Raw genomic sequence first — 12,786 nt, forward strand, 5'->3', positions numbered from 1 at the left:
CTTTTCTTGAAGCTGGGCAGAACTTTGTGATTGCCTTGACAGAGGGGAAAAAAAGGGTTGGGGGGGTGCAGAAGTGACACTATATGCCTGTGTGACTTCCAAGGCTAAGTCATAAAAGCAGACACGGCTTTTTCTTGTCCTTTCCCTTCCCTTCCCTTCTCTCTCTCAGCCTCCCTCTCCCTACCCCTTCCCCACCACTGGCCTCTGGGACCTAGCTGCCATGATATGAGGAAGCCCAAGCAGCCACAGGGAAAGGTCACAAGTAGAAGTTCCAGCCACAGGGCCCAGGTGAGGTCCCAGCTGATAGGCAGCATCAACTGCCAGACAGGTGAGTGAGAAAGCTTCAGATCATTCCAGTCCACAGCCTTTTAAGCCACCCCAAGGGGTGTCAAGTGCAGCAAAGATGAGCCATACCTGCTGAGCCCTGCCCAGATTGCAGATCTGTAAGCAAAGCAAATCTTTTCACTGGGGTGGTTTGTAAACTAGGGAAGTTCCAGCTCTTTCCTAGTTGAAGACTTTTCCCTTCTTTAAAACCTAACTCAGGCCGGGCACAGTGGCTCATGCCTGTAATCCCAGCACTTTGCAAGGCCAAGGCAGTTGGATCACTTGAGGTCAGGAGTTTGAGACCAGCCTGGCCAACATGGCAAAACCCCATCTCTATAAAAAATACAAAAAAATTAGCTGGGTGTGATGGTGCACACCTGTAGTCCCAGCTACTCGAGAGGCTGAGACAGGAGAATTGCTTGAACCGGGGAGGTGGAAGTTGCAGTGAGCCAAGATTGAACCACAGCACTCCAGCCTGGGCAACAGAGTGAGACTCTGTCAGAAAACAAACAAACAAACAAAAAACACCTAACTCAGATGTTGCTTTCCTGCTTAAAAGCCTCCCATGTTCCCATCTCCTTCAGAGTAAAAGCCGAAGTCTATACTTAATCTAAAAGATCCTTCCTACATGATCTGCCAATACCACGGTTTCCTGTCAACATTGACTCTCTGACCTCTTATCCCACTCTCCCCATCCACCCCTCTGCTCCAGCCACACTGGCCTCCTTGCTGATTCTTAAACTTACGAAGCAAGTCCCACCTCAGGGCCTTTGCACTTGCTGTTCTCCCAGCTCAGAAGGCTCTTCCCCCAGAACTCTATATAGCTCCCACCTCATGATCAGGTCTTTGCTCAAATGTCATCTTCTCAATAAGCCCTTCCATGACCACACTATTTAAAATTACAACTCCCCCTCCCTCCCCACAAAATAAATCACTCCCATCCTTATTCCCTGGGTTCCATTTCTGCAGAGCACTTAGCATAATCTAATGGATTGCATATTTCACTTATGTTTCTTGTGTATAATCTGTCTGCCCAACTAGAGTGTAAGTTCCATGAGGGCAGGTGAGGGATCTCTATCTGTCTTGGTCACTGCTGTATCCCCAGTGCCTACAACAGTGCCAGGCATATGTTCACCACTCTGTGAATATTTGTTGGTATAAATGGAAGGAATGAATGGATTAATGGGTGCATATATTGTTGGAAGAATAGATCCAAGGGAAAGGAAAGAGGAGGGTAACAGGAAAAGAGCCCAACTCACCCTAAAAACATGAAGGCTTCCATTTGCCAAAGGCAGAAGATACTTAAAAAAAAAAATCTTATCTCCACAACCAGATGATCAACCAACTAATCAATCACTCTCCAAACCATGTCCCTCTTGCCTCCTAAACATTTCTTGTTTCTTCCAACATTTTATTATGAGCAATTGCAGGCATGCAGAAAAGTTGAAGGATTTTACAATGAACACCTTTACCCCAATCACCTAGACTCCACTCTAAACATTTTACTGTCTTTGCTTAATTATATTTCTATACATTTATCCATCCCTCCATCCATCCCTCCATCCCTCCATTCTTCCATCCACCCATTACTCCATCCATCCATCCATTACTCCATCCATTCATCTCTCCTTCCATCCATTACACCACCCATCCATCCATCCATCCATCACACCATCCATCCACCCAACCATCCATCCATCCATTTATCCATCCCTCCATCCATCCCTCCATCCATTCATCTCTCCATCCATCCATTACTCCATCCATTCATCCATCCATCCATCCATCCATCCATCCATCCATCCATCCATCCCTCCAGCTTAATTTTGATGCAGTTCAGTGAAAGTTGCAGACACCAGTACACTGCCCCCTAAGTCCTTCAGAGTGTCTATCGGTATTTGTTTACCATTCTTTATTTTCTATTTTGAAGTAAAGTTTACATACAAGATGTGCAAATCTGAAGTGTGCCATTCACTGAGTTTTGACAAATTCATATACCCGTATAACGCAAACTTCTGTCAAGATAAAGAAGCACTCCCCTGATGTTTTTTCCACTATACATGAGCCTTACTTGTTCTGGAATTTCATTTAAGTGAAATTGCATAATACATTCTTTACTGTGTCTAGCTTCTTTCGTTCATCATAAGGTTTTTGAGAGTCATCCATGATATATGTGTATCAATACTTCATTTTTTTTTTGTTGCTGATAGTATTCACTGCATGGGCATACCACAATTTGCTTATCCATTCTACTAATGATGAACCTCAATATCTCTTCAATCCACCCCCTTTCCTTCATCTCCATGGCCCCTTCCCTGGCCCAGGCATCTCTTCTTTACACCCAGGTCTCCACTCCAGCCCAGCCTCCTTCTTGCTCTCTGATCTCTAATCTCACTCCCTGTCATCCACCTTCCAGAGGATTTTGTTTTGTTTTGTTTCGTTTTGTTTTGTTTTTTAATACAGGGTCTCTGTCACCCAGGCTGGAGTAAATGGCAGGATCATAGCTCACTGCAGCCTCAACTTCCTGGATTCAATCAATCCTCTTCCCTGAGCCTCCTGAGTAGCTGAGACTACAGGTGCATGCCACCATGCCCAGCTAATTTTTAAATTTTTTAAAGAGATGGGCTCTCACTATGTTGCTCAGGCTTGTCTCAAACTCCTGGCCTCAAGCAATCCTCCTGCCTTGGCCTCCCAAACCTGGGATTACAAGTGTGAACTACCACACCCAGCTCCCAGAGGAATCCTTATCAGGCACATGTTGTGTTCTGTCCTGCTCAAAACTCGGCCATGGCTCCCCAGTGCTCCCTGGGGAATGCCCGAGATTCTTTAATGGCTTTCAGACTTGGTTTGATCTCACCCCGATGCACCCCTCCACCATCACTTCCCATCTCCTCTCTTTATAATCCAGGCTGCAACCACTGTCTACCTGTCAGTTCCCTCAATGTGCCAAGCTCTCTTTTGCCTCCAAACTGTTGTATTATCTTCCCTTTGCCTACAATACTTTTCCCCCAGCCCTCTCATTCATGTATTTATTTATTTTACAGATGAGGTCTCACTCTGTTGCCCAGACTGGAGTGCAGTGGCACAATCATAGCTCATTGCAGCCTCCAGCTCCTGGGCTCAAGCAATCCTCCCGTCTCAGCCTCCCAAGTAACTGGGACTATAGGTGCACATCACCATGCCTGGCAAAGTTAAAAAAAAAAATTAAGAGATAGAGGCCGGGCCGGGCGCGGTGGCTCACGCCTGTAATCCCAGCACTTTGGGAGGCCGAGGCAGGTGGATCATGAGGTCAGGAGATCGAGACCATCCTGGCTAACAAGGTGAAACCCCGTCTCTACTAAAAATACAAAAAATTAGCCGGGCGCGGTAGCGGGCGCCTGTAGTCCCAGCTACTCGGGAGGCTGAGGCAGGAGAATGGCGTGAACCCGGGAAGCGGAGCTTGCAGTGAGCCGAGATTTCGCCACTGCAGTCCGCAGTCCAGCCTGGGCGACAGAGCGAGACTCCGTCTCAAAAAAAAAAAAAAAAAAAAAAAAAAAGAGATAGAGGCCGGGTGCAGTGGCTCATGCCTCTAATCCCAGCTCTTTGGGAGGTTGAGATGGGCGGATCACCTGAGGTCTGGATTTTGAGACCATTTTGGCCAACATGGTGAAACCCCATCTCTACTAAAAATACAAAAATTAGCCAGGCGTGATGTCAGATGCCTGTAATCCCAGCTACTAAGGAGGCCAAGGCAGGAGAATTGCTTGAACCTGGGAGGCAGAGGTTGCAGTGAGCCAAATCGCACCAATGAACTCCAGCCTAGGCGACAAGAGCAACACTCAGTCTCAAAAAATAAATAAATACATACATAAATAAAATAAAAATTAAGAGATGGGATCTTGCTATGTTGCCCAGGCTGGTCTCAAACTCCTGGCCTCAAACGATCCTCCCCCTTCAGCCTCCTGAGTCATTGAGATTACAGTTGAGAGCCACTGCACTCGGCTGTCCCCAACCCTCTCTCTGCTTGCCTCACTGTTATTCCTTCTTAAGTCTGCATCCAAATGCCCCTTCCACAATAAACCTTTCTGACAGCCCCGACAGGGTGGGTAAGGTGCTTCCACCAAGCTCCCACAGTTCCTGGCAGTTCAGACCACTCTACAATTTAATATTAAAAGGTCTTAAATTCCCACTTAACTTCAGTTCCAGGTACAAAACTTGTCTCTTCAAACAAGAACATATCCTTTAGCAAAAGTTGGAAATCATTTTAACGGACACATTTCCCTTATTGCCTTAGCTGCTGGGAACCTCTGAGCGAAGTTTAACGCTAACCTACATCGTAGAGAGACACCTGTTGCATCTCTGTGTGTAAAGTGTTAGTTCTATTTTAATGTTTGTTGAAATAGTGCCAGCTTTTCTTGGGCACTGTAAATCCCTCCGATTGGCTCTCTGCTGTGACTCCCTCATACCAAAATCAATGAGTTCTTCCACTGAATCTATCATCCAACTACTGCCCCCTCCAAACTCTTCCAACACACCCACTGGAACTCTCGTTGTCTTGTTAACAACCACTCCCCTTCCTCAGTTTCTCCCTTGAACATCTCTTCTACCCCATGTCCTTACCTAAACCCTAAGAAGCTCTAAGAACAATGCTTCCTCTGCAGCCCCTTCTACTATTTATTTATTTATTTATTTATTTAGAGACAGAGTCTTACTCTGTCACTCAGGCTGGAGTGCAATGGCATGATCTTGGCTCACTGCAACCTCTGCCTCCTGGGTTCAAGCGATTCTCCTGCCTCAGCCTCCCGAGTAGCTGGGATTACAAGGGTGTGCCACCACACCCGGCTAATTTTTGTATTTTTAGTAGAGATGGGGTTTCACCATGTTGGCCAGGCTGGTCTTGAACTCCTGACCTCAGGTGATCTGCCCGCCTCAGCCTCCCAAAGTGCTGGGATTACAGTCGTGAGCCACCATGGCCGGCCCCCCTTTATAATTCAGACTGCTCCTTTTCTAACATCCCACCTGCCTCTACACTGAGGGTTGAAAGCTGATTTCTCTATCAAGATTCTTTTGGGTGCAAGTATCTAAAATCCATTCAAACGAATCTAAGCACAAAGCAAATAAGGCAATAGTGAATGAAGCAATATTTGACAAAAGCAACAGCAAAAAAAAAAAAAAAAAAAAAAAAAAGCCCATTGTGGGTTTCATTTGAAAAATCCAAGAATTAAACTGGAGTTCAGGTATGGCTGGATCCAGGCACTCAAGTGCTGGTGTCAAAACTGCCTTTCACAATCGTTCATTTCTGCACAATCTCTTTTGCACTGAACCTCATCTCATAAAGCCTCTCCTCTCTTTGTGGCAGTGTGAGCCCCATCTGCTCCATCTGCCCAGCAATTCCAGCAGACATAGAAAATCCTCTTTCCTAATGGTTTCAGCAAATGTCTCAGGGTTGATTCTCATTGGGCTAAATTAGGTAACATGCCTTCCCTGAACCAATCACTGTGGCCAGGGAAGCAGACTCAACTGATTAGCCAGGTTTGGATCCTATGTCCATCCCTGGAGCTGGTGAAGGCAGAGCAGTGGCCAAGCCCTATTCAAATTAAATAGATGAAGAGGACAGAGAAGTGGTTTCCCAAAAGAAAACAGAGTGGGGAACTGGCGTGAGCCGGGGAGCCGTGTGGATTCCTGGAGGAAGAGTGTGCTAAGCTGTGGGAACAGCAAGTGCAAAGGCCCTAAGGTGAGCAACTTGCCTGGCAAGTTCAAGGTTCAACAAGGCCACTTCTGCTGTAGTATCCTCTTCCCTGCCAACCAAATCCAGAATAGTGGTCCAACACACACACACACACACACACACACACACACTCTGTTCCTTATCCAACTGTAATGCTTTCACCCTTGCTTGGTACCTTTGTACTTCTCCCTTCATAGTCGACTAGTTAAAAAAAAATACATTTCTCGGCTCTTTTTTGAAGTAGGTGTGATTGAGTTAAAACATATTTACTTGACATAAGCTTAATTATTCATCAATGGGAACCTGAAAAGGGAGTCAGAGAGGCCAAGAGGTTAGGGTGGAGTAGAGGGGGTAGGGAAGGTAAGCTGGGGTGCAGAGGGTGCAGACTGGAGGAATGGGGGCGAAGTGGGGTATGGGACTGGGGTGGCAGGGAGGGGCTGGGGAGAGAGAGAGAAGGGTAGGTGCCAGAGGGCCAAGGATTGTGGAACTGGGGTGGGGTTGGGAGTTGGGGGGTGGGGAGGAGATGTGGGGTACTCTGTGAATACCTTAGAAGGGATAGAGAAGGCAGGGCTAGGGGTTTGGAAGGGGTGGGATTGGAGGTCAGAGGGGCTCAACTGGGGTTAGGAAATGGAAAGGTGAGAAGAGGTGGGGGTTAGAGGCTGGGGACTGGGGTCCAGAGAGCAGAGTGAACTGAGTGGGTTCAGAAGAGTACTGGCGTTGGCACTTCAGAGGCTGGACTAGAGAAGGCGCGTTCAGCCGACGGTGCGGGATACACTGCCGAGGAAGTCCGCGGCGAGGGGCGTGGTTGGGGGGTGTGTATTACACGGTATCCCCCCCTTGCCTTTCCAAGTCTTTCCCTCTGGTTCCGCCTCCTTTTCAGGAGTGACATACCGTTGCCCAATCAGAGCCTCAGGCCTGGCGTGGCACAGCCAACCGCGCGGCGTGGGGAGGAGCTGGGGAGGGGGCTCGCAAGGCCGGGGAGGGGGCTAGGGGCCTCCGAGGGCTCCGGAGCGGCGACTGGCGAGCCATGGCGCTGGGGCTGCAGCGCGCAAGGTACTGAAGTTCGGGGGCAGGAGTTCTGGGAATTGGGGGGCTCTCCTCCTGGAGACCCCTGAGCTGGATTGTTGGGGGGGGTGGGGTTCGCGGGTGCGAGCCAAGAACGCCCCGGGGCGCGCAGTTGGAGGCACATCCCCACCGCACTCTCCACCCTTAGGGACTGCAGGGGTGGGGGATTCCCTACGTCTCTGGCTGCCCCGCCCCTCTGGCCAAGAGCGGCTTCGGGGTTCCCGATTTCTCGCTACCCAAGGCTCATTTACCCTCCTGGTTGGGGGTGGAACTTGGGATTCCTGATAAATTAGGGGTGATTGCATTTGAGCAGTCCCCAGGCTTCTGCGGGAGATATTCGCCCTCCACATATTGATCCCTCTGGCCTCTGAACCCCCCAAAATTGAGGGTATTCTTTGCCACCAGGTGCCTGGGATCCTAGGTGATATGGGATACCCCTAAATGGAGCCTTCCCACATATAGGGAGTCCCTTGGAATGGCATTCAGCTCCTGAGTTCAAGAGAGGAGAGATCTCCTCTAATAGTATGCTTCCTGACACAGTCTCCTAAACATTGGGTTTCCCTAGAAATGGGCAGAGGGGAGCCCCTTTCAGAAGCCGTCTGGGACCCTTCCCAAGAGACTTTTTGTATCCTTTCAAAAGCCAGAGTCACCCCCTTAAATAACAGGGAAACAAGCTGGACCCACTTCCCAAAGTCCAGCCCCTCATCTCACCCCTGCACCCCCATCCTGAGAGACAGGGGAGCCTCATCCAAGCTTTATTTTGGGGAGACTCCATGGCAGGGTGCTGTGAGCCTGCAGGCTGTGATGGGAACGCCCCCTGCCGCAGTACTCAGATGGGGTCATCCCGGGCAGAGGGTGGGTTTCTGGGTTCACTTGCCCAGCAGGTGCAGCTCTGCTGGAACACAGGGGAACCTGTGCCCTGGGGCCGCTGCCGGGGGGTTTTATCTGGCCATGTTCCCATGGGACCCTGGAAAATGTTCTAGGTCCTCAGCTTTCCCTGTCCAATGTGAGGCACCCAGTAAGCCTCACCCCCTTCCCTCCTCCCTGGCTTCTCAGGCCTGATTGGATCCATGCACACCCCATGTTTCTAACCGCCCCCATCCTCTCCCCTGTCCCCTACTCTATTCCAGGCCCTGGCTCTGGGCCTAACAAGGAACTCTATCCCACCCCTTTTGGGCCAGCTGTCGTTCCGCCCCTCTCAGCGCCCCCTCCTGGCTGGGTGGGGGCCCCTCTTGGCTGAGCTCGGGTGCCCCCCCTCCCCACCCAAGGCCGGCCCTTTCCTGTGGAGTCATCTCACCGCCGTGCGCACCCACTCGTAACTCGCACCCGGGTCCTGGCTGCACCGCATCCCCTCCTGCACCCCCTGGATGGCCCTTCAGCCAACGGGGGCCTGGGCGATGGTGAGTGGGCCCCCAACACCTCCTTTCCCCCTTCCCTTCCTCTAGCTGGGGCTGGCTGCCATCCCACTGTGGCCAAGGATGCTCTTGGGAAGTCCCTGGTGGGTACGGCTTGCAGCCCAGAGTGCCCAGTGAGGTAGTATTCCCGGAGAAGATAGGATTTTGGGGACCAGCACCCTACCAGATTACCATGTCCTTGAGAACAGGCAGAGTCGGGGGGCAGAGAGACTCCCCCAGACCCCCATGCCAAGTCCCTTTGCAAACCCAAACCCTGCCTCTGGTCTCTCAGGACACCTCTCTGCAATGCCAAAAGGCATCCTTGCCCAGCTACAACCTAAACCCCCACCCACCAAATCCTCTGTGCTTTTCGTAAGACGCCCCCCCCCAATACCCAGCTGGGTGTCAGAATAGAAAAGCCCAGAAGTAGCCCTGAATGTGGGCAGGGACTGCCTGCTTTTATTATGCCTTCCTCATGGGTGGCAAATTCTTCAGGGCAGGGAAGAGGTGAACTTCTCTCCTTCCTGGTTGGAGGGGGGCACTGGGCCCCAACCCCCATTCTCAGGCCTCACCCTGAGCCCGCCAGGCCCTGGCCCCACCCCCTGTTCTTGGCTGGAACACGGAGGAAGGGTGGCAGGGTTCCAGCTGCACGTCCCAAGCTGGGCAGAGTGCCAGGGGGCTGGACCAGGGCTGGGCATGGGGCCAGCTGGGGCGATCTGGAGGCAGCAGGGGTGTGACGGGGGAAGGGACCGAGGCTGCTAGGCAAAAGAGGGGTGGGGCAGGGGCCTCTTGGGTGGGGGCCACACCTGCCAAGAGCACAGGGCCCAAAGACAGGGTTCAAATCCCATCTCACCCACTTCCTGGTGGTGTGGAATTGTGTCAGTGACTGCCGCTCTGAGCCTCACTTTCAGATCCTGGAAATACGGGCAGGCCGGGTGCGGTGGCTCAGGCCTGTTATTCCAGCACTTTGGGAGGCTGAGGTGGGCGGATTGCTTGAGTTCAAGACCAGCCTGGGCAACATGGCAAAATCTCATCTATACTAGAAGTAAGCAAATTAGCCAGGCATGGTGGTGAGTGTCTGTAGTCCCAGCTACTCAGGAGGCTGAGGTGGGAGGATGGCTTGAGCCTGAGGCAGAGGTTGTAATGAGCCAAGATCAGGCCACTGCACTCCAGCCTGGACAACACAGCCGGACCTTGTCGCAAAAAAAAAAAAAATAGAAAAATAGAAAAAAAAAAGAAAACTGGGTATCACACTCCCTTTCCACCACCCCAGATCAAGATGAGGAGCCAGTAGTGAGGAAGCAGACGGTGGGGGGCGGGACACCCAACAGGTGTGCCACAAACTGAGCTCAAGTCAGAGTAGACAGACCTGGCTTGAATCCTGTCTCTGCTACTAAAAGCTGTGTGGCTTCAGTTTCATCACCTCTTTGGGCCTGCTTCCTCATCCGGAAAATGGGGAAAGTCATTGCAGGAACATGGTCGGATTCACTGAGAAGTGGTTGAACATAGTTCAGTGTCAATGGAGGGCGCTGGGTTACTTGGGCTGGGGATGCCATTGCTCCAAATCTCAGTTTCTGCCTCTTTAAAAGGAGAGATCACTTCTCCTGCTCAATAGGGTAGTAGTAAGGACTTAATGGGTTCTCTAGCTCCGTGAGTGTTCAACACACCAATGCTATCATTATTACAGTATCACTGTTATTTAATCCTCCTTTTAAGATGCTTGTGTAAAAACCATGTATGTAATTGCATGCACACACCACACTATGGGGCGTGTAGAGTAATCCACAGGTTACTGTAAAGCCCAAGAAGCTCCTAAGCCCATGCTTTCCATCTCTGATACGCACAGAGGGAGAACAGTAAGTCTAACCTTGGCCGGGCGCGGTGGCTCATGCCTGTAATCCCAACATTTTGGGAGTCCGAGGCAGACAGATCACCTGAGGTCAGGAGTTCGAGACCAGCCTGGCCAACATAGTGAAACCCTGTCTCTACTAAAAATACAAAAATTACCCAGGCATGGTGGCAGGAGCCTGTAATCCCAGCTACTCAGGAAGCTGAGGCAGGAGAATCGCTTGAAACTGGGAGGCAGAGGTGACAGTGAGCCAAGATCAAGCCACTGCACTCCAGCCTGGGCAACAGAGCAAGATTACGTTCACACAGCTTATAAGCAGTCACACAGCTTGTAAGTAGTGGAGCTTGTAAGTAGTAGCTTATAAGTAGTGGAGTTGATAAGTAGTAGAGTCAGGATTGGAACCCTGAGCCAGAGGAACTAGCCCCCAGTCTGTGTAATGGGAAAGACCCACACTTCCCAGTAGAACATCCAGAGGGCAGGCTGGGAGCTGGAAGGAGGGTCCCTCCGCAGCCACCAGCTGGCTCCTTCTATGGAAGAAGCAGCCCAGCCACAGAGGATTACAGAGCCCAGCTGCCTGGGAGGTGGGGCACTGGCCCCACCTCCCTGCCAGTTCCCACTCCCTGTTCCCTGTCGGGCCCCCAGCTCCGTGAGGCCCTCTCGCCCCCACCCTCTGGGCAGGAAGACAAACAGGGCTGGAACAGAACAGGACGGAATGTCCTCTCAGGCAGGCAGGACTGAGGCCCCTGCCCCCACCAGCCAGGAAGGAGGGGACGGGGACAGGGGCCGTATCTCCCCTGCTCCAACCCTCCATCCAAACTGCCCCCTTCTGTGCCTCCCTCCCTGCTGTACTGAGGATTTTATTTTCCTTCTGTCTCCAGACAGGAAAATATCCCCTTGCCCTGGGGGGTGGGGCCGCAGGTCTCTTGCCTGAGGCTGGGGTTGATGCCACCCCAGAAGCACCCTCTGCTCTTGAATTTAAGAAGGGACAGTGTCCCCTCCTAGAGGTTCTGCTTCCCTCGGATGGGTCCCAAGGAGGGGATGAGAAAAAGCCTGAAGACTGGAAACTCACCGCCCAGATTCAAATCCCAGCTCAGCCAGTTGTTGGCTTTGGGGCTTCTTGGGCAAGGACTTCACCTTTCAGAAGCTGTTTCCCCACTGTAAAGTGGAAGTTTAAAATGCCCCCCTCCGCCGGGCATGGTGGCTCACGCCTGTAATCCCAGCACTTTGGGAGGCTGAGGTGGGCAGATCACTTGAGGTCAAGAGTTCGAGAGCAGCCTGGCCAACATAGCGAAACCCCGTCTCTACTAAAAATACAAAAATTAGCCGGGCGTGGTGGCAGATGTCTGTAATCCCAGCTACTCGGGAGGCTGAGGCAGGAGAATTGAACCCGGCAGGCGGAGGCTGCAGTGAGCCAAGATCGTGCCATTATACTCCAGCCTGGCTGACACAGTGAAACTCCGTCTCAAAAAAAAAAAAAAATTAAAAATTAAAAATTAAAAAATAAATAAAAAATGAAATGGCTCCCTCCTAGGGGTCCCCTGAGGATTGGATGAATACATGTAGAATATATAGTACAGTGGCAAGCACATAAATGCTTAGCAAATGACAGCTGCCTATTACTAATAGTAATATTTATCAATATAAATGTAGATGAGACTATATATACCATATACTACACTAGATTATATATACAATATAGTAGATGTAACACATCATATAATAATTTTTTATTTTGCCTATTTTTGTTAATTTGTTTTTTGTCTTTTTTTTGTTTTTTATTTGTTTGTTTTGAGACGGAGTCTCACTCTGTCGCCCAGGCTGGAGTATAGTGGCGCGATCTTGGCTCACTGCAACCTCCACCTCCCAGGTTCAAGCGATTCTCCTGCCTCAGCCTTTCAAGTAGCTAGGACTACAAGGTGCCCACCACCACGCCCAGCTAATTTTTTGTATTTTTAGTAGAGACAGGGTTTCACCATGTTAGCCAGGATGGCCTCGATCTCCTGACCTCGTGATCCGCCCGCCTCGGCCTCCCAAAGTGCTGGGATTACAGGCGTGAGCCACTGCGCCCGGCCTGTTTTTTGTCTTTTTTTAGAGACGGAGCCTTGCTGTGTCACCCAGGCTGGAGTGCAGGGGCACAATCATGGCTCACTGTAACCTCAAACCTGGGTTCAAGTGATCCTCTGTCTCACCCTCCCAAATTATAGCCGCTTCCGGCTATAATTTTGTATGAAAGAGGCCAGGCGTGGTGGCTTACACCTGTAATCCCAGAATTTGGGGAGGCCAAGGTGGGAGGATCACTTGAGTTCAGGAGTTCAAGACCAGCCTGGGCAACAAAATGACACACTGTCTCTACAAAAAATACAAAAATTAGCTGGGCGTGCTGATACGCACCTGTGGTCCCAGCTACATAAGAGGCTGAGGCTGGAGGATGGCTTTAGCCTAGGATA

The 12,786-nt window shown here is 50.8% G+C and overlaps 1 protein-coding gene across 16 annotated transcripts in view; it reads left to right on the forward strand.

Moving 5' to 3' along the window:
* Positions 7,024-12,786, forward strand: part of HIF3A (hypoxia inducible factor 3 subunit alpha) — a 46,392-nt gene continuing 40,629 nt past the window's right edge. For 7 of the 16 annotated variants that reach the window (XM_017027132.2, XM_005259152.5, XM_047439216.1 and 4 more), the window contains exons 1-2: positions 7,024-7,084; positions 8,365-8,496. In XM_017027132.2, coding sequence (XP_016882621.1) covers positions 7,059-7,084; positions 8,365-8,496 — 158 coding nt within the window. In that variant the 5' untranslated portion in view covers positions 7,024-7,058. Of the gene's footprint in view, positions 7,085-8,357; positions 8,497-12,786 lie in introns of those variants that run through there. The other 9 variants (XM_017027134.2, NM_152795.4, XM_017027140.2 and 6 more) reach the window with 2 other exon arrangements.

The sequence above is a fragment of the Homo sapiens genome, chromosome 19 (assembly GCF_000001405.40).
Source record: "Homo sapiens chromosome 19, GRCh38.p14 Primary Assembly".
NCBI classification, from domain to species: domain Eukaryota; kingdom Metazoa; phylum Chordata; class Mammalia; order Primates; family Hominidae; genus Homo; species Homo sapiens.